This window comes from Homo sapiens, chromosome 6 (assembly GCF_000001405.40).
Source record: "Homo sapiens chromosome 6, GRCh38.p14 Primary Assembly".
In the NCBI taxonomy this organism is placed as follows: Eukaryota; Metazoa; Chordata; class Mammalia; order Primates; family Hominidae; genus Homo; species Homo sapiens.
Genome location: NC_000006.12, coordinates 36,725,657 through 36,746,220, shown reverse-complemented (window position 1 = coordinate 36,746,220; position 20,564 = coordinate 36,725,657). Strand labels below are relative to the sequence as shown.

At 53.9% G+C, this 20,564-nt stretch overlaps 2 protein-coding genes and 1 pseudogene across 30 annotated transcripts in view, besides 3 other annotated features; 1 reads left to right on the top strand and 2 right to left on the bottom strand.

Moving 5' to 3' along the window:
* The window catches only part of CPNE5 (copine 5), a 99,224-nt gene extending 93,778 nt beyond the window's left edge, over positions 1 to 5,446 (top strand). For 10 of the 23 annotated variants that reach the window (XM_011514769.2, XM_011514768.2, XM_011514770.2 and 7 more), the window contains 4 exons: positions 706 to 833; positions 1,071 to 1,173; positions 1,896 to 1,953; positions 2,459 to 2,970. In XM_011514769.2, the coding sequence (XP_011513071.1) occupies positions 706 to 833; positions 1,071 to 1,173; positions 1,896 to 1,953; positions 2,459 to 2,931 (762 nt within the window). In that variant the 3' untranslated portion in view covers positions 2,932 to 2,970. The other 13 variants (NM_020939.2, NM_001410887.1, XM_047419191.1 and 10 more) reach the window with 5 other exon arrangements.
* Positions 1,088 to 1,288: a silencer, noted in NCBI's record as "peak5789 fragment used in MPRA reporter construct". NCBI's record gives its function as "represses an SCP1 promoter by STARR-seq MPRAs in K562 erythroleukemia cells {active_cell/tissue: K562}" and the evidence as "EXISTENCE:reporter gene assay evidence [ECO:0000049][PMID:32103011]".
* GPR166P (G protein-coupled receptor 166, pseudogene) lies at positions 8,338 to 9,111 on the bottom strand (annotated as a pseudogene).
* Positions 10,460 to 10,961: an enhancer, noted in NCBI's record as "H3K4me1 hESC enhancer chr6:36703037-36703538 (GRCh37/hg19 assembly coordinates)". NCBI's record gives its function as "activates a minimal SCP1, AML or CMV promoter by ChIP-STARR-seq in primed H9 embryonic stem cells {active_cell/tissue: H9 hESC(primed)}" and the evidence as "EXISTENCE:reporter gene assay evidence [ECO:0000049][PMID:30033119]".
* Positions 13,037 to 20,564, bottom strand: part of RAB44 (RAB44, member RAS oncogene family) — a 35,359-nt gene continuing 27,831 nt past the window's right edge. For 4 of the 7 annotated variants that reach the window (XM_024446435.2, NM_001257357.2, XM_024446437.2 and 1 more), the window contains 5 exons: positions 20,278 to 20,359; positions 18,530 to 18,644; positions 17,420 to 17,521; positions 15,472 to 15,548; positions 13,037 to 14,218 (listed from right to left, as the gene is read on the bottom strand). In XM_024446435.2, coding sequence (XP_024302203.1) covers positions 14,128 to 14,218; positions 15,472 to 15,548; positions 17,420 to 17,521; positions 18,530 to 18,644; positions 20,278 to 20,359 — 467 coding nt within the window. In that variant the 3' untranslated portion in view covers positions 13,037 to 14,127. Of the gene's footprint in view, positions 14,219 to 15,471; positions 15,549 to 17,419; positions 17,522 to 18,529; positions 18,645 to 20,277; positions 20,360 to 20,564 lie in introns of those variants that run through there. The other 3 variants (XM_024446439.2, XM_047418772.1, XM_024446441.2) reach the window with 3 other exon arrangements.
* Positions 19,423 to 19,562: an enhancer, noted in NCBI's record as "active region_24443". NCBI's record gives its function as "activates an Ori minimal core promoter by ATAC-STARR-seq in GM12878 lymphoblastoid cells {active_cell/tissue: GM12878}" and the evidence as "EXISTENCE:reporter gene assay evidence [ECO:0000049][PMID:35858748]".

Here is a 20,564-nt window from a genome sequence, read left to right as displayed (position 1 = left end):
CACAGATGCTGCCCCTCCATGTCTGAAGCTGCCTGCCCACAGCTGGCCCTGGCTTCCTTGTTCCTGACAAGACGCAGGTGCAGGTGGAGGCGAGCTGTGGCTGACCCATCCCTCAGGGCCCCAGAAAAGTGAACAAGGTGGTGTGGGTTGGGTATCCCTGAGTCAGTGCTGAGATGGGATGACGTGGATCTCCAGGGTGATGTGGAGCATGGCGTCATCTGGGCATCCCGGGCCCTGTGGAGATGATTGCACAGGCCACCCCTTTCCCTGGCTCCCACGAGCTGGGGACACTCAGGCACAGCAGACGTCCCTCCCATGCCTGAGGGTGCAAGGTGCTGTGCTGGGCCCAGTGTGCACGTGGACAGATCAGCCACAGGTCCTTCCTGAGTTGCTGAGACCCAGCAGTCATTTTAGGGCAGAGTGGATTTACCCAAGGTTCCCTGAGGGAAGCAGCCAGGGATCTTGGGGCATCTCTGAACAGGTACAGGGAGCCGGGTAAGGAGCAGGTTTGGACCCAGCTCACCTGAAGCATGCACTGCTTCAGGATGGGCCCTGGGAGCTCCCTCCCCTGCCCCGCCACCCCACACCAGAGAAGACCTGGGGGAGCCCAGGCCTGCTGGCCTCCCCACCTGGACTCAGTTCCCACACATCGTGCACCCCTGTCCTTCCTTCCTGGGCTCAGCCTCCCTGCCCTCTGTCCCCCAGAATGGCAACCAGGAGAACCCCTCATGCTGTGGCATCGACGGCATCCTGGAGGCCTACCACCGCAGCCTGCGCACTGTGCAGCTGTACGGCCCCACCAACTTTGCCCCCGTGGTCACCCACGTGGCCAGGTGAGTGCCGCTGCCACCGCCTCCAGGCACTCACAAGGCCTCTGTTTCCACACCAGCTCTGCCTCTGGGTGGTGGGAGGGGGTTTCTCTTCCCACGCACTTGCCTTTCAGGGAGCCCTGACCCTGAAGAGATTCCCCCAAGAGCTGTCACCCTCCAAAGTGTTCAGGGTCCTTGTTTAGGGGGGAACATGCCCAGAGGTCCCGCAGACAGACCTGAGCCCACACCTGCCCCACCCAGGAATGCAGCGGCCGTGCAGGATGGCTCCCAGTACTCGGTGCTGCTCATCATTACTGATGGGGTCATCTCGGACATGGCGCAGACCAAGGAGGCCATTGTCAACGTAAGCAAGGAGTGTGCGGTGGGGGAGGCGGTTTGAGGAGTGTCTTCCTCCCCGTTAGGGGAACCCTGGGGATGTGCCTACCTCCTTGACCTTAGGGAAATGCTTGGAGATGACTTGGGCGTGGCTTCTCATTTCCCTGCCTCACTGGGCCCCACTGCCCTCATCCACCTTCTGGCCTCTGGCTGCAGAGTCCGGTGCTGGATAGTGGATTCTAGCGGGTGGAAGGGGTGCCCAGATCATGAGAGATCTGGCTGGTGAGCTCTGTTCCCACCTCTTAGTCACGCTCTGGTCTACTCCCTCCAGACCCCAATGACTCCCTCATTAACCCATCTCTAGGACCGCTTCCCCCTTTCCCAGGCCAGCCTGGCCAGGTCAAAGGAGTGGGAGGGGAGGCTCAGAGTTGGGGAAGCTCAGGAACATGGCTCCCCAAGCCGGTGGTCTCCCTGTAAGAGGGGATGGGGGTGACTCACCAAAGCAGACCTATGACCCATTCCCCCTGCCACCCTCCCTCTCTCCTCCAGGCGCAGCCTGGTTTCCTTTGCTCTTTATCTCTGAGTGCCCTCCCTCTCCCTACCCCCTTTTCTGTGTTTCTCTGTCTCTCCATGTTCACTCTCCCATTTCTTTCCTGCCCACCCCTTCCTGTCCTACCCCTGATTTCTCCTTCCTTTTAACTGGGTCCCAATTGGGTCCAACCTTTCCCTGCCCCCCATGCTGTCTCCCAGGCTGCCAAGCTCCCCATGTCCATCATTATCGTCGGCGTGGGCCAGGCAGAGTTCGACGGTGAGTCCAGCTGCTGCCTTCCCCTCCTTTCCTTCCCTAGCCACGCAACCCTGCCCCCACCCCAGATGTTTCCCCAGAGGCTGTGGTCCCCTGGGAATGACCCCTCCCAAAAGAGTGAGAGCTCCCGCCTGGGCGTGTGTGTCTGGGTGAGTGTGCAGGGTGTGGGACGCATTTGTTTGCTCAGGGAAGGGTGTGTCAGGTCTGGGTGTGCACCCACACCCACATCCCAAGGCTGTGGGGAGGAGGCCCCAAGTCACTTCTTTCTCCTCCAGCCCTGGGAGTCTGGGGAGGGTGGTGAACCAAAGCACTGGGCTCAAAGTCAGAGGCTCACCTGATCGGGCTCCTCCTGGCCCCTGGCCTCAGTTTCCTCATCTCTAACACGGGGCATGGGCCAGTGGTCTCGGCCCTGGATTGGCCTGGGATGAAAGGACAAGTCCACTCTCCTGCTAGGGCCAGGGGTCCACCGTTAATCTCACCCCGCCCCATGACACTCCTCCCCTCACAGCCATGGTGGAGCTGGATGGCGACGACGTGCGGATCTCCTCCCGGGGGAAGCTGGCTGAACGCGACATCGTCCAGGTGAAGCCCAGGCCTTGCCTGCCCCATGGGAAATTCAAGAGCCCCTCTAGCCAGGCGGACCTCACACCCCCTTTGGGGGCTTCCCTGGTGAAGGGCCCAGAAGGGAGGCACTGGGAGCCCCAAAGTGGCCCAGCCACCACCGAAGGGAGTAGGAGTCAGTCCTCGGCCATGCTGTGGTCTGGGCTGGGCCCCCCTCTGTCACATCTGGGACACACTCCTAACATTGCGGGTGCCCAGCCAGAGGCCAGAACCCTCTGCCAGCCCTTCCTCAGCCTCCAGGCCTCTGTGGTCAGCCTCGTTCTGGTTTTTTTCTGCCCCTTGAAGGCTGAGGCAGTGTCTTTAGTGTTGCTGCAGCCTTCTCCAAGAATAGGCATTGCTCGGTTAACTGAATCAATGTAAGCATCTCCATGAACGGTGCAAATATAATGAGCAGAAAGACCTTTGTCCTCAGGGAATTCCCATGCAGTCTCACGTGGAAGAATGCACCCTCCGCAAGCACTTCCCCCACTCATCCCCTGCAGAGGAGGCCCTAGTGCTTAGGAGATGCAGAAGACAAAGCTGACATCCTGCATACCCCCTTGGTTTAAAAATTGGGGCCCAGTATCCCAGGTGTGGAGACCAAACATAGGGGGCTGGAAACCAGAGCAAGACAACCTGGGAGGTGGGACCGGCCCATGCTAAGGCCTGGAGGCAGGAGTGAGCCAGAAGAGGCGCTCAGGATGGAGGGCACCCCCGGGAAGAAGCCAGATGGGCCTGGCATTAGGCATTGGCCAGATTAGCCCCAGAGAGAAAAGGAACGAAGAGAGGCCAGAGAGAGAGGGCTCTGCTGGACAGGTCGGGGGAAACCCAGGAGGGCACGTGCCCCAGAAGTCAGGGATTCAGTTGGCATTTCGGAAGCACCTACTCAGAGCCTGTGCTTAGTGCCGAGGTGGAGAAATCGTGTTCAGTGGTGTGTCCTGGTGTGGAATAGGGCTCAGTTTTTGTCGAGTGAATGAAAGAATAGTGACTATGACTATAGTTACTGACTGCCCAAACCCAGGGAGTTGAGGGATACAGTCCCTCAGGTAATTCAGAAAGGTGGGGGGATTGAGTCAAGTGAGCAGAGGCTGGGAGGGGGGTGGGGATGCAACCCCAGGCCTGGAGATTTTGGGGGCCAGGGTCCCACAGGAGGCACTGCCTGACCCTGCCCTCCCACTTGCCAGTTTGTACCCTTCCGGGACTACGTGGACCGCACAGGCAACCACGTGCTGAGCATGGCCCGCCTGGCCCGAGACGTGCTGGCAGAGATCCCTGACCAACTGGTGTCCTACATGAAGGCACAGGGCATTCGCCCGCGTCCCCCACCCGCAGCACCAACCCACTCGCCCTCGCAGTCCCCAGCCCGCACGCCCCCTGCGTCCCCCCTGCACACGCACATCTGAACCTGGTCTCAGCAGGCAGGTGGCTGGGGCCTGGGAGAGGCCAGGTGAATGGGAGGCCAGGGCCCCAGACTCCCCGAAGTTGGCCTGCCCGGCCTTTGGGACATCTGTGTGCCTGGGAGGCTGCCAGGGGGTGGGGCTTCTGAAGACCCCTCCTCAATTTCTTGGCCTCACTTATTGCCCAAACCCAGGGAGTTAGGGGGGTACGGGTGAAAGAGGGGTACACAGGGACCCAGCCCTTCTCTTCTTCCCCAATACCTGGCTCTAACCCAGCCAGGAAGGTGTAAACAATAAGGGTGATTGGGGTCCCTGTCGCCCACCCCCGGCAATCCTATTTGCTTACCTGTCACCCTGAAGCCTGGGCTTGGCCTCCTCCAGCCCCCCATCTCCGTCCCATCCTCCCATGGTGTCTACTCCTGTCCCTGAGCCCCGCCCTGTGGTCTATCCTGTGCCCGATTTCCAGTGAACCCCATGAAGCTGATGGGTTTGCAGGAAGGCCTGAACATGTGCACCCTCCCAGGGACACTGGATGCGCTGGGAGCCCCGGGGACCCCATGGGGTGCTGTAATCATGGACCGTAGGCCATGTGATGGGCCTGAAGTGGAGGCTGCTCAGCACAGAGCCCTTTCTGGTGCCTCTCGAACTCAGTACGATGCAAGTTCTAGACACACAGATGGCCTGTGGAGGCCTCTCCCTGGTGTGGGCCCACAGGTACTTCCATGGTTGACTCCTGGCTTCAGGAATCCCTTCCTCCCTCCAGAGGCTTCCCAGGGCCCTCGGTGCCCACGCCTCTGCCCATCTGGAGGCCTGAGTAAGGAGTGGCTCAGCCCCACGTTCCCACACTGCTCCTGCTCTTTGCCCTGTATCCCATGAGGCTAGGAGACAGGAGTCCTGGGTTTGAGCCCTGCCTCCCCCCACTGCCTAATGTGGGAACCCAAGCAAGGCCCTTCTACCTTTTGGGCCTCAGTTTCCATGTCTGTACCACAAGAGGGTTGACCAGATGGCCCCAGGTTTTCCTTTAGGTCTGACATCCTGAGGGTCATTCATCCCATGCCCAGTTCCCCCCATCCTACTCCTAACAGATGTGACCCTACTTGAGGCCGCCTTGGCTTTTGGGTCACCCTGTCTCATCCCATCACCCCAAACATACCCTAGTCCTTCAGCCTGGGGCTCTGGCATCTGAGCCCGAGCTCCTGCCCCTGCTGTGGGAAAGGTGGGGAAGAAGGGGATCTCCCTCCCGGGCCCACCCAGCTGCCCAGCCTTTGCCCACTCGGGGAGCAGATCATGCATGCCAATCCCTGTTGCCGCATGGAGCTCCTCAGCCCACTGACCTCTCCGTGCCTGGTGCAGGCCAGGCCCCCGTCTTCCGCCTGCCTCTGCTTCCCCGTCATGCATGGTGGTGGTGTTTCTACGGTGTCTGGTTCTGTGCCCGTCTCTGAGACAGTCTCTGTGTGGAATTTGCCTTAAACTGAAGTAAATTTGGTTCTTTTAGTAAAGCACGAAGTTTTTCTTTCTTCTCTGAAAAATAGCACTGACGTTGCTGCTTGACAGGGTCCAGTTCTCCTCTGTGGCTTCCTTCAATTGTTTGCTTCAGTGAGATTTACAATCAAAGGCCACGTGCCACGCTCTGTGCTAGGCATTGAGGATGCAGCCATGAACAAAGCACAGACCCTGTCCCTGCACAGGGCTTACAACACACACACAGATAATATGGGAGAGACCCAGCAAACACATCAACAAATAGGCTAGTAACATCATTTCAGGTGGTAGCAAGAGTTCTAAAGACACATGAGGGAGAAGGAGGGTGATGTTTTCGATGAGGTGGTCAGAGAGGGCCTCTCAGAGGAGGTCATGGTTGAGGTGAGCCCCCAGGAAGTAAGACAGGGAGCCACGCTGATATCTGGGGAAGGGAGCTCTAAGTAGAGGGACCAGCAGGCGCAAAGGCCCTGTGGTAGGAGCTTCCTTGGTGCATTTGCAGGAGAGCGAGGCCAGTGTGGCTGGAGCTGAGTGCAGGAAGGGAAAGTGCTAGAGATGGGGTCGGAGAGGTGAAGAGGCCAGAATGCACAGGCCGCATAGGCCATGATGAGGCCTTTGGCATTTACTGAGTGAAACGGGAAGCCATTGAGGAGGTGAGAGAAGTGAGTAACATCATCAGAATTTCCTCTAAAATAAACGGATTGCTTTATTGCATTTGATCACTCATTCACTCATCTCTCAACAAGTATTTACCAAACATGAGTGCCAGGCCCCACTCACGTATTGGAGACCATGCTGGAGATGCACACACAGAATTGCACCCTCAGGGGTGCCCCTGCTCTGGGGCAGTGAGCGAGGAAATACTACAACCATGGGGTACTGATGCCAAGCCATCAGGAGGGGCTGGGTAATCTGTGGGCACCAGAGTCACTGTGCCATGAGGAGGAGTCTGGCATCCCCTGTGCAATGGGGTCGTCACCACCACCCCCATCCTTGCAGGGTCATCGTGTGGCCAGAGTGACGAGTACATAAGGTTGCATGTGACATATGTGACATGCGCCCAGGACCCATGGCATTTTAGGTGCCCAAGAAACACTGTTTTCCTCTTGTTCCTCTTCACATATAAATCCCTGTGGCCATCAGGGACCAGGATCATAGCAAAAGGGGATTTCTCCCTTCTCTGGGCAAGTTTGTTCCCAGATTAGCCCTCCAGGCAGCCATTCCCACCCTGAACATCACAAGAAATTTGGAACTAATTATACCAAAGTTTGGGACTTGTTTACTTCTTATGATTTTATAGTAAATGGGTGCTGATTCACGGCTGTCCCTATAATTACATGCCCCTGTGACTTACATTCTGATATGCTTTGAGTGGGAACAGGGTGGGGTCACAGCTTGGAAGGAGGGAAGTTCCCATAACCAGCAGCTCATGTCACCTCACCACAGGGGCCGTGGGAAAGTGTCAGGAGAGGGTGCTTGCCTGGCAGGGGGACTGAGGCACAGAGCCACTGCCGGGGGCGGGACGGGACACCAAGAGCATCTTTGCTGTGCCCAACACCGTAGCATCTTGTGGATTCTTTCCCAAGGTGTGTTCCACAGAATACTGGCTCTCTGGCATGGAGTTTGGGAACCTGCCTGCTGTGCGTCCCTCTCGAGAGTCTCAGTGGCCTTTTGGGTATTCAAGGCTCTGGTAAGTCCTACAGCAAAGGGACCAGTATGATTTGGTTCAACCCAACGTTTCTCAAGCTTTGTATCACAGAGTCAGTGTGTGTATGTGTGTTTTGCTGGTAACACCGTCACCAAGCAGAACGTGCTGTCTTGGGAATTTCAGTAGAGACAATCTCCCGGGTTTCCAGGCCAACATGGAAGCCTGAAGCCTGCCCTGAGCAGGCCAGAGGGAGGGCACTGAGGGTGGGAAAAATGGAAACCTCAAATTGGGCTCTGGAGAGAAGAAAAGGGCTCTGAAAGGGATCCCTGCCCCAGGTGCTTCAGGAAGAGAAGCCACAGGGAAGAAAGGAGGGCTTCAGACATTCACAGTCCCGGAGTCATGGCTGCATGGTTGACTGGATTTTTGTCCCCCTATTGGACTGAGGGGTGTGTGGAACAGAGCTGGAGGGGTGGGCAGAGAGGGGAAAGGCTGTCCTGCCTCTGAGCTCACCCCCCAGGCTGTGGCTGGCCCTCTGCTCCCCCTACTCAATCTCCTGGCCTTCAGGATTAAGGACCCTAGGCTGTTACCCCCCAGATCATTCTCCACCCACTTCTCTGCCTTTGGAAGCCCCTCTGTCCTCCTCTTGTCCACTCACCTCAAATACCCCTGAATTAATACAAATAAAATAATAATAGTAGCAATGACCAGCACGCATATGCACTTACTAAGCATCCTTCTAAGCACTTTACATGTGTTTAGCAAATTCATCTTCATAACAACCCTGTGAAGAAGGTATGTACTGTCATCATCCCATTTTCCAGATGAGAACACTGAGACACAGAGGCTCAAGATCACACAATTAGAGAGCAGTGGAGCCTACAGAGATCTGAGCCTGAAAGTGGAGTGGGAGGATCCATCTGGTTACCTAGAGATGTGAGCTCTAGCTGAGCCATTTAGTTGCTTTGTGACCTTGTTTGGGCCATCTGCCCTCTGGGTCTCAGTCTCTCCACTGGTAAAATAGAGGGGATGGGCTGTCAGGTCCCTAAGGGTCTTCCCATCTCCCTTGAATCTCAGCGCATCCATCAGCCTATACTCTTAGACCCCCGCCAGGCCCCACAGGCCTCCTGAGGCCCTGTCACGGCCAGGCTGGACAGTCGCCACCACTGAGGCTGCCACTCCCACACCTCTGGGATGCCTGGCCATCATCGGCCTGCAGAAGAGGTCCCTGAGTCCTGCCTGGAAGGGGCGGGAGAGGTAGAAGCAGAGGATAGGGCTGACAGCGCAATTGGAGTAGGCCAGGATGGTGCAGAGGCTGGAGGCCACAAAAGCAGCCGGTGTGGCAGGCAGGTAGCCCATGGCTGCCACATAACCCAGCATGGAGCAGGGCCCCCACATCAGCACAAAAACCACCAGCACCACAAGGCTGAGCCCTATGTTCTCTTAATGCTCCTGGATGCTCTCTCCCATGGGACCTTGGGGCTGGGTCCACAGGAGCCAGCCCACGTGGCTGAAAGAGCAGCCCAGCCCCAGCGTGCATGGCAGGAAGGCCAGGGCTCCCAGCAGGCTGATGTAGCAGGAGGTCCCAGCAGGGCTCAGGAGCAAGAGGCAGGCCTGGGTCTTGGGAGCCCCCGCTGTCTCCTCCTCCACTGCCACCCTCTGGAACAGCCAGTTGGGCAGGGATTCTGTAAGGCCCAGGGCCCACATGGCCCCACAGAGCAGCAAGAGGGTGCCCCAGCCGGCTGGGAAGGCCAGGTCAGGCCGGGCCACAGCCACATGGCGCAGGAGAGCTGTGGCCACCATGCTATAGAAGATGCAGAACGTGGTGGCTGTGTTGGTGGCCTGGCTAATGGTGCAGATGGCAGGGCCCAGCCACCAGTTGTGCTGCAGGAAGCTCAGCAGCAGCACAGGCACCACGCAGGCCAGGAAGAGCAGGTCAGATGGCGTGATGTTCATCATGAGGCTGTGGGTCAGGGAGTGGAGCGGGTGGGGGGAGCCCGGGCCCCGGCCCACCACCAGCAGCATGAGCCCATTAGCTGACAGCCCCACCAGCAGGATGAGGCCACAGACCCCAGCAGAGATGAGTCGGAGCAGTCGCTCAGGTGTGGCCGTGAGCTGCGTGGTGAACGTAGCATTGGGCTCCATTCTGTTTCAAACACACAAGGACAAAGTAGAAACCAGCCAGCCCCAAAGGCCGCCTTCCCCATTCCTGCTAAGCCTCCTTTTTTCACAGACCCCCTGCATGTAGTGGGCCCAGATAAGGCCTGTCCTTGGCACACATTAGCCCCTGCAGACCTCATGACAACCCCATGGGATGGACTCCATTAGTACCCTGGGTTCAAATCCTGCCTCTGCTGCTTGCTAGCTCCAGTACCCTGGGATTTATTTATTTATTTATTTTTTTAGAAACAGAATCTCACTCTATCACCCAGGCTGGAGTGAGATCTTGACTCACTGCAACCTCCGCCTCCTAGGTTCAAGCGATTCTCATGCCTCGGCCTCCCAAAGTGCTGGGATTACAGGCGCCACCGCACCTGGCCCCTGGGAGAGTTACTTAATGTTTCTCTACCTCAGTTTCCTCAGCTGTAAGAAAGCAAGGAAATAAAATAAAACAGATGTCAATAGTAACTATCATAAGTGGTAAGACTAGGGTAATTTTCATTTTCTTCTTTAAAATTTATTTCTAAAATTTCTGCAGGGAGTACACATTGTTTTCATAATCTGATAAATATATATGTGCATACATACACACACACATATGTATCTATTTTTTGACAAAACAAAAACCCTGCCCTGTGAAACAAGCAGGTTTAATTTGAGGTTCAAATGGAAAAGTGGGTCTGAAAGGGCTTTGAGAAGGTGTGAAGCCCCTTCCAGTGGTTCCCAAGCTTCTCTGCACTTTGGGATCACCTGAGGAGTTTCACAAATACAGAAGCCTGGGTCCCACCCCCAGAGACATGACATAGTTGGTCTGGGCTTTAGCATTTTTGAAAGATCCCAAATAATTCTAAGGGCAGACCAGCCTGGGAATCATTGCCCTCTAGGTTATGCTGTGCAGGCCCCTGGCAGAGTGGGGGAGTCTGCACCCAGTGGTCAGACCTTTCTTCTCACCCCCACTCTGTCCCACATGTCAAGGGCAGGGGGAGTCCCCGATTGGGAGGACTCTGGCTACAAGATGGGATGTAGACATCCTAGAGCCAGCCCAGTGGCTGATGTCACCATTGGCCGCCCTGCAGGCCAGGCCAGGGCCCGGGAGCTTTAGCTGGAGGCTTGCCTGCTAACTCAGTACATATTTCCTGAGCATTTGCTCTGGACCAGGTTCCCGGAATCCAGCAGCAAACAAGACATAGCAGAGGAGTCCTTACTGGAGTTGCCCTCCCCTTTTCTACCACACCGGGGTGGGGGCTGGAGACACTCTTCTCCTGCGGGCTCAAAGCCAGGTTTGAAGGAGTCTCTGAGTCCCTCCTGCAGAGCCCCAGCCTGGGGAACTTGGCTTCGTCTCTGGGGCCCCAGGGCAGCAACGTGCCTGAGGGCAGCTGAGGGGAGACTGGAGAGGGGGCCTCTGTGAATTCTGATGTCGGCCACCTTCCCGGGTCCCACCAGCTTCAGAGACGGCAGGAGGAGGGGAAATGAAGGACCTGTCCTGGATGAAGGCTGTCATCCAGCCACTTTCCTGGCATTTATCACTGCCTTTTCGTCTCTTTTTCCTGGTCCACACCCACCAATGACATGGACTATTACTGGAGAGGAATTGGCAGGGAGCAATACGAGGCTTCAGGGACCTGGCCCCTCCTTCCCCGAAGCATCCGCATCTTCCTGTAAGCAGTTGCATAACTTCAGAGTTAAGTCTATGGGTATCGGCGTTTGCGTTTAACACTGGCTCCAGCACTTACTTGCTACGTGACTACGGGGAAGTTACTCAGCCTCCCTATGCAGTACTTTCCTTTTCCGTAAGATGGGGGAGCACGCCTGATGGTGTGAGGGCTAAATGAATTAACACGAGCTAGGTGCTCAGAACAGTGCCTGGCATACGGTAGGCACTGGGTAAAGGAGGGATGTCATTCTGCCCCTGCTCACCCTCAGCTCCCAAAAGCCCTCTTCTCTTAGAGCTCCTGCCCAGCCTTCCTTCTCTCCCCATGCCCTCCCTTCTCACTCCACAGCCTGAGTCCCATCAGCCCAGTCCCACCCTCCTTTTCTTAATCAGACTCTGGCTAAGCCTAAATCAGAGCCTCCTTGGCTGACATGCCCCAAGAACTCACCACTTGCCTGGAAGTTCACTCTGAAGTCTACCTCAAGTTTCTCCTGCTGCTGTCGTTGCCTACTTTGTGCTGCTCTGAGGTTCCTGGGTCCTGTTCCCTGGCTTGTGAGCCCTTTGACAGCAGGAAAGGCTGGTGGTCCTTGCACAGCTGTGCCCTGCCCAGCAGGTGGATCCGGCCCAAGAAAGCCAAAAGAGGGTGCTGGGCAGTGTGGAGTTCCTCCCAGAACTCCACCTCCTGCGAACCTGAGTTGCCTGAGGCCACAACAGAGCTGAGCTGAGACGGGGAGGCCTGGGGGCCACTCCCGTACCGGGCCCCCAAACGACAGGGGCTGTCTGCTCTACTGCCTCTCCCAGGAATCACACCCTGCCTACCTGCCTCATTAATTCCCTGGCCTACAGGACAGAGATGTTGGTGCCTGCCAGGTCCCTGGGCCCCAGAGAAAGAGCCATTAGCAACTATAGGACCTGTTTCCCATCCTTATCCAGGGCCAGCATCACTCACTGCAGCCCACACCCCTCTCTCTCTCTCTCTCTCTCTCTCTCTCTCTCTCTCTCTCTCTCTCTCTCTCTCTCTCTCTGAGCACACTGAGAAACTGCTCAGTTCAGGGGCAGGCTTGTGGGCTGCGGGAGGGGACCTGAGATGGGAGAAGACATTGGGGTAAAAAGGATCAGTGAAGGGCCCAGTAAAAGAATCAGCTGGAGGGCCGGGCGCGGTGGCTCATGCCTGTAATCCCAGCACTCTGGGAGGCCGAGGCGGGTGGATTATGAGGTCAAGAGATCGAGACCATCCTGACCAACATGGTGAAACCCCGTCTCTACTAAAAATACAAAAAATTAGCTGGGTGAGGTGGCGGGCGCCTGTAGGCCCAGCTACTTGGGAGGCTGAGGCAGGAGAATGGCGTGAACCCGGGAGGTGGAGGTTGCAGTGAGCCGAGATTGCGCCCCTGTGCTCCAGCCTAGCGACTGAGTGAGACTCCGTCTCAAAAAAACAAAACAAAACAAAACAAAACAAAAACACACAAAGAATCAGCTGGACCATGGGAATCATCCACATGGAGTCTGGAGGTTGAATGGGGTCCATTAAGGGAATCTAATCCAACTTTGGCAGCTTCAGATGCTGGGATCTTCTCTACCTCACCTTTGCCAAGCATTACCTGTCTTCTTGTGCGCCTCTGGTGATGGAAGGCTCACTGCTGCTGAGACGTTCCTTTCAGAACTGAGAAGAGGGGTTGGGGCCAGGGCCTAAGACTGTGTGATGCAACAGCCCTCTGTTGCTCCCTCTTTCTCCTTCGTTCTCTCTCTCTGTAACTCTGTTCCTTGAACTGTCTTTGCTTGTCCCCCTATGAAACTGGGGTTTCCATTGATTCAGCCAGGAAATTCCCCAGTACCTGAAGGATTACAAAATACCAAACCCAGGCTGGGGGCGGTGGCTCACGCCTGTCATCCCAGCACATTGGGAGGATCACTTGAGCCCAGGAGTTTGAGACCAGCCTAAGCAACATTGCAAGACCTTGTGTTTGCAAATAGCTAAAAAATTAGCCGGATGTGGTGGCATGTGCCCATGGTCCCAGCTACTTGGGAGGCTGAGGTGGGGGAATCACTTGAGCCCAGACAGTTGAGGCTGTTGTGAGTGGCGATCATGCCAATGTACTCCAGCCTGCGCAACAGAGAGAGATCCTGTCTCAAAAAACAAACAAACAAATTCAGTGCCTGGCACATGTTGTATATTCAATTTGTGATGATGGTAAGATGTGACAGACATACAAACGAAGACCATGGCCGTCTCTCCAAGACTCTAAAGCAAGCTCTCCGAGGGCACTGGAAACCCCAGCCCTAGCTGATAAGGGGCAGCCACCATTCAGGAGGTGAATATTATGGAATTCTGGAAACTTCCACAAAAGCTCCAAATAGAAGTGTGTGAATGATTCTGAGTCTCGGCTCCCCAGCTGCTTGGACCCCCCAGCCACACCCTAGCTGCCCCTCAAATGCATCCAGAGACTGACAACTCAGGCCAAAGCCCTGTGCTTGGGGACACCATGGCATTGGAGCAGGGGGCGGGACCCCCAAATGTGACCCCTGGGAGGTGTGTTTTGTATGGTGGGGAAAGGGAGTGAGGTTGGGGCTCTGGAAGACAGGAGGGCATCGAGGCATATCAGAGGCCTTTGGAACATTACTCTTCCCAGGAACCAGATTCTGCTGGGAAGAAAGCCCATGCTTGCAAATAGAAATAGCGAGGGAGACCAGGCCAACAGCGCCCTGCCAAGCAGAGCACAGAGGGACCGCTCTAACACCGAGCAACATGTGATTAACAGGTTACACTAATTAGGAGCCAGCAGCACCCAAGGGAGCTCCTTGGGAAGTTTCTCTCCTCCTCCTCCACATCTCTTTTTTCTGATTATGTATTGAATACTGTTATTGTTGAAAATCTGAAAATACAAATATGTGTAAAATGGAAAGTAACACCCCCCCCCCACATTCTCCCTAAAATTTTACACCCACAGATGTGCGGCCAATATTTTGGTGTATTTTCCTTAAGTCGTTTTTCTAGACTTTCTTTGTTTGGAGAGTTTTGCCATACCCCTGCCCCTCAAGCCTTGTTCACTCAGCAAAGCCCTCCTTTGGAGTGTGAAAGGCAGAGGTGATGCGGCCCTGCTCTGGGATCCGAGTCCTGAGTTGAGAAGGGTTTTCCTGAACCTCCAAGCTGGTCCTCTGTGTCGTTGCTGTCCAGGAACAAAGGACAGGAGCTGAGGGACAGGAAACCCCATGGGTGTCCATCCTACCCAGGACAGGACAGGTGATCAGGAGCAACAGCCGAATCTCTTGGGCGGCCTCTTGGGGGCCACCTTCACCAGCGAGTCCTTCAGGCCTTCTTCTTGCATCCTGAGTGACCTATGTGACAGTGCCAGGCATCAGGCCTCTCTCTCACCTCCTACGGGCAGCACGGATGGGCCCATGGGTGCAGCTGGGGGGTGGGAGGCCGCACCCACAACCCCCACAACAGCTCTGCCCCTGCCCTGCATTCCACATGAGACCCGAAGAATTGAGTCACTGAGACTTTGACCTTCTCTTTCTGGCCTACTATGTGCCAGGCACTGTGCAGGACTCTGACTATGACAAAGAAGCCACCATTCCCTCCCTTGAGTAGTGAGAGAGACAGACAGGAAAAGGGGTGACTGCAGCCCGGGAATGATGGGGAGGCACACAGGGACTTCACACCAGGTCCTGGAGGGATCTGGGGAGGAAGGAGATGGTGACCGAACTGAGCCATGGACAAGGTATGCCAGCAGAAAGGGTGGGGGAGGTGCATCCCAAGCAGAGGGCCATGGCGCGGCTCAGTGCCGAGAGAGCTTGGAGGCTGGGGAAGCAAAAGAAGTCCATTCATTTCTTCGTGATATATTTACTGTGTGCCAGATGGTGCTCATCTGATCTAGCTCCCCTCATGCCTTACTCATTTTATTCATTTATGGAGCACCTAGGTCCCAGGTATGGGGAGAGGGGCTGAACAAAACAGACATGGCCCTGCCTTCCTGGACAACAAGAAAACAGATAAATGCATATATCATTAATATGTGTCGTGTCAAGAAGGGCCATGAAGGACACAAACAGGGGCTGTGATCCAAAATAGTGATGGCAGGTGGGTGATCAGGGAGGGAGTCTCTGAGTGGCTGGAACTTGGCAAGTGTGTGTGTGTGAGTGTGAGTGTGTGTAAGAGTGTGAGTGTGTGTGGGTGTGAGTGAATGTGTGTGTGTGTAGGGGTGGGGGAGATGGCACTAGAGATGCTGCAGGCCATTGCAAAGCATTTGGATTTTAATGGAAGCTACTGGAAGTTTGGGAGCAGAAGAGAGACACTCCTTTTCTCAGCCCTCTTTGCAAATGAAAAAACTGAGGCTCAGAGAGCCTAAGTGCCTGTGGGGAGTGATTCAGCGAACGGGAAGGGCAGAGCTGGAGTCAGGAGACTCTCAGTGCAGGGCTCTCTCTCCCCTCAGACTGGTGAGCCCAGGTCTTTAACTAGGTGCTTCCCTGACCCATTTCCTCAGAATGGGCCTTCCTGTCCCACCTGGGAGTCAAGAGTGGGGCCGGAGCTGTCCCAGAGGATTCTGCAAGGGGGGGGGTGGGGGCGGCGGGGGGCGGGCAGCACTTACCTGGCCAGGTTTACTACAGGCTCCAGGATGTTGTGACCCAAGGCGGCACTGCACTCCCCAAAATAGACCCCCAGTTCCTGCAGGCCAGACAGGGAGGGACATATGTGCCTTGGGAGAGACAACTGAAAGGCCAGGCCATACCCCGCCACTAAAGTCCCGGCCATCAGAGTCCCAATGCATCCCTAAGCTGACCTCAGTGGCGAGCAAGACAGCCCCATCTCAGCGTGGGCCACGGTCCCTGCCTGGAGCCCTTTGCCCACTGTCCCTTCACCCCGGCTGGCCAAGGTGTCAAGGAATGCATTGAAGAGACATTTCACAGCCTTCGGAGTGGCATGGGAAGCCTGCATCCCAACTTGGAGAAATGCCCCTGGAGACATTTTATAAATGTTAGTTATGTTTTTTAATTTCAGAAATATTTCATTGGGGGAATATTGGAAGATATAGTATAAGACAGTACCAGCTCAATATCTAAACCACTGCTGTTAGTGTTTGGGTAGATATTGCCATTCTGTTTTATATAACCCTTTTACGGGGCGGGGGCTAACTGTCCTGTACAGTTAGGTTAAACCACACGAAATTGCTATTTTTGGCAAGCTCCAGTCAAATATCAGCAATTTCATATGTTTCAACCTAACCTATATCTAGATTTGTAGCTGCTTATATGATTTTCTATTATATTGTAAGCATTTCCCCCACACCCTTAAATATTTTTCCAAGACAGGATTCTTAATGGCAAATACTAACCTCTCACATGAACATCCACAGTTTAACCACCAATTGCTGCCAAATGTTTGTTCTTATAAATAATATTTGAAAACCCTCATATAAACCTGTTCGATTGTACGTTATACATGGGTATCCATTAGGTGTTCCTTTAGGGATTATTACTTCTGAGTCTTCCCTTACGATAAATTGCTAGAGGATAAATTACTATGTCAAAGGGATGAGTTACTACTTTTAAGAAAAAGGCCGAGCATGGTGGCTCACGCCTGTAATCCCAGCACTTTGGGAGCCCGAGGTAGGCAGATCCCTTGAGGTCAGGAGTTCCAGATCAGCCTGGCCAACATGGTGAAACCCCGTCTCTACTAAAAATACAAAAATTAGCCGGGCGTGGTGGCACATGCCTGTAATCCCAGCTACTAAGGAGGCTGAGGTGGGAGAATCGCTTGAACCCGGGAGTCGGAGGTTGCAATGAGCCAAGATCGTGCCACTGCACTCCAGCCTGGGTGACAGAGCAAGATTCCATCTCAAAAAAAAAAAAAAGAAAGAAAGAAAGAAAAAAAATTCCCTTCCAGCAGGAGCCACAATGATGACCTCACAATTTACGGGAAGTGGGAAGAGAAACAGGAAGGAAATACAGTAGGAAGATGCCAAGAGGGGTTGTGTGAGAGGTGGGGCGAGGAGTGATTTTTCCCTCTATTTTTATTACTCTCCAGATTTTCTGGAATGTGGTTAAATGCCATTCATGAATAGATAGTGTTCACTGTCTGGCAGTGGGGCTTTTGATGTAATCATCCCAAGGGAGAATTTGAGTCTTAAAATAGGAGAACTTAGAAGGCAGCACGTTAATTAGAGACCAGAGATAAAATTAAAATTTGATTGGGAATTTTAAGCAAAGCTTTCAAAACCTTTTTACTCTGAAGCTATTTCTTATGTAGGTGGGGACATGGTGTGGGAATGTGCTAATTCAACAGTGAGGTTCAGTGTCACGCCCGCCACTCCAGCCTTGGGTTTGGGCTTAAAGCGCATCTCCAGAGGCCAGGGCTGTGTGGGAGGCAGAGGTGGCTAGGCTGCTGTCCACTCTGAACAGGCCTTTGGTTGGGGCAGGGGCAGGAATGGGCCACGGGTTCTTCTCGGCTGCCCAGGTCAGGTGATGCCTATCCACCACCTGCCAGGGAGGTGTCTGCCCAGTCCACGCACAGAGACGGGCTGATGCCCAAGTGCTTACCTGGGCCAGTTGCTGCCCAGCTTCCACGGACACTTGCCGTTCCTCCTCACAGTCCATCTTGTTTCCCAGGAGAAGGATGACCACCCCATCCGACCCTGCATCCTGCACACAGAACATGTTCTGTCAGCCACACCCACTGTGTGCCAGGCTCCTGGCACATTTGCCTTCCTAGAAGCTGAACTGTGTCCCCCGCATGTTCCCCCTCCCAGGCCACATCCACTCCATAACCTTCTCACCTGGACCCTTTCCCCCATCCTTCCTCTCTGCTGATAAACATCTCACTTATTTTCCAAGGCCAACCTTAAGAACACCTCCCCCAGGAAGCCTTCCTGGGTTGTTCCTGCCCATGTCCTCTCTTCCTGCCTGTTCTGAACAGTCCAGCACTTGATTATACATTTTCCCAATTGTCTCATGAATAATAATAATAGTTTCTGATTAGTGAGTGATTGCTATACACCAGGTGCTGTGCTGAAAGCAATTCTATCAATTAATTGTCACAACTCCCCTATGAGAGAATTCCAGAAATTGAAGTTCAGAGAACTCAATTCACTTGTCCAAAGTCACAGAGTTCGGGTGGGTGGGATTCAAATGTAGGTCCTGTCAGACCCCAGTGCTCAGCTCCCCTCTTCACACATTACCTTATCCTGCTTCTTTTGCTAAACTAGAAACTTCCAGAGAGAAGGCAACATGGCTAACTTCACACCCCTCTGCTGTGCTAGTACACACTGCAGAATTTCAGTATATATGCTTTGAGGAAGTAAGCAGGGGAAAAACTAGAGATGTGTGAACAGAGGAATTACCACATGGAATGGCACAAGAACTACATTAGCCTCAAGTGTAAGAAGAAGACATTACAAACAGCTGCCATATGTAGGAAGAGAATGTTCACAGGATAAAGGAAGTAGTTTGGTTTGAAGTCTGTACTATGTGGTTGTGGTTTCTTTGTACTACTGCATTCCCAGCTCATCCAACCACATGCCCTCAGTGGGTGGTGTCACCCATATGTCTGTCATGTCATTTGTAATCCTGGGAGAAAAGAGGGAGTGGGCAGGATATAAGATCCCTCTTGACTGGAGGGACTGGGGCCAACCCCAGCAGCCATCTGCTCACCTGGAGACAGTCTAGCCAGTAGCGCACGTGGGCAAAGCTCTCCTGGGAGGTGATGTCGTACATGAGCACCACCCCGTCAGCCTTGCGGAGCAGCTGTCGCGTCATACTGTGGTACCTGCCCAGAGAGTCTGCATGAGGCCACACCAGGCATCCAGACCCCAGGCCCTGGCCTCTGCAAAGTGGGAGAAGTAACCTATCCTACTTCTAATTGCTTCCCACAGAGCATGTCCGTATGCTTTTCTTCGTACAGTGTAGTTATTGTTGACTAGGTAACAGTTCTCATGGCTCAAATTTCAAAAGGTCTCAAGGAGAACTCAATGAAAAGTCTCCTTCCTTCTGCCCCATCCTGGAGCCACCCAGTCCCCCTCCCCAGAGGCAACCAGGGTTATCAGTTTCTTAAATATTTTTCCAGAGGCATTTTACGTATATACATATATATACACACACATATATACACCCATACACATACATCTTTCCCCCTCTATTTTATACAAATACAGTGTAAAACATTCATCATACTCATTAATATTCAGTGTTCTGCATTTTGTTTTTTTCCAGTTAACAGGATGTCTTGGAGAAATTTCCCTATCGGGCTGGGCACGGTGGCTCACGCCTGTAATCCCAGCACTTTGGGAGGCTGAGGCAGGAGGATCACTTGCGGTCAGGAGTTCCAGATCGGCCTGGCCAACATGGTGAAACCCTGTGTCTACTAAAAATACAAAAATTAGCTGGATGTGGTTGTATGTGTCTGTAGTCCCAGCTCCTCAGGAGGCTGAGGCACAAGAATCACTTAAGCCCTGGAGGTGGAGATTGCAGTGAGCTGAGATCACACCACCACACTCCAGCCTGGGTGACAGAGCAAGACTCTGTCTCAAAAAAAAAAAAAAAATCCCTATTAGTACATAAAGAGAGTCCTCAGTCTTTGTGTGGCTTTATGGTGTTATACTGGGTAGATTGACCCTCCTTTATTTAACTGGTCCCCTATTGATGGACATTTAGGTTGTTTCCTATGTTTCATAACACAAGTGAGAATACTATGACTGGTCCTGGTCCCTTTGTTATTATAGTCATATGAGTCTATTTATAGAATGAATTTCTAGAAGTGGAACTGCAGAATCAAATAAGATATGCCTTTTAAGTTTTTATCACTGCCAGGTGCCGTGGCTCATGCCTGTAATCCCAGCACTTTGGGAGGCCGAGGCAGGTAGATCACGAGGTCAGGAGTTCGAGACCAGCCTGGCCAATATGATGAAACCCCATCTCTACTAAAAATACAAAAATTAGCTGGATGTGGTGGTGGGCACCTGTAGTCCCAGCTACTCAGAGGCTGAAGCAGGAGAATCGCTTGAACCCGGTAAGTGGAGGTTGCAGTGAGCCCAGATCACGCCACTGTACTCCAGCCTGAGCAATACAGCGAGACTCCATCTCAAGAAGAAAAAAAAATTTTTGATCACTACTGCCTAGGTTGAAAGTAGAAGACCAGCATTTTTAGAAGGACAGGTGATTGGGTGGCTGTCCCCTAATGACCATGTTGGGAAGCCCTAATATATGCCCTGCCAGGCTGAGGGACCTCTGGCTCTGCTGCCCTCTCTCCCCTGCCTTGGGCTTGACTCATCTCTCCTTCCCTGACCTCCTGAATCCTTGGGGGGCAGTTGCCTCCTGCCTGTGTTATTAGGGCTGCTCCCTGTCCCTCTGCACCCCTACGCTCAGCCTAGGTTCCTGACACACTGATATACAGTGCCTGTTACCTCTCTTGGCCAGCTGTGTCCCAGAGCTGCAGCACAAAGCACTTGTTGTCCACCAGCAAGGTTTTGACCCGAAAATCTACTCCTAGGACACATAGAGAGGGGTGAAGCCTACTAAGTTACCATCCAGGACTCCTAGCCAAGGCCTACCCCAGTATACACCTGTCCCCTGTACCAGCTGCGGTGCGATGGAGCCCTTGGCTGCCGGGCTTCCCCTCGGCTCTGCATCCCATCCATACTCGAGGACCCACTTCCTCCAAGAAGCCTTCCCAGACCTCCCTGCCGCAAGT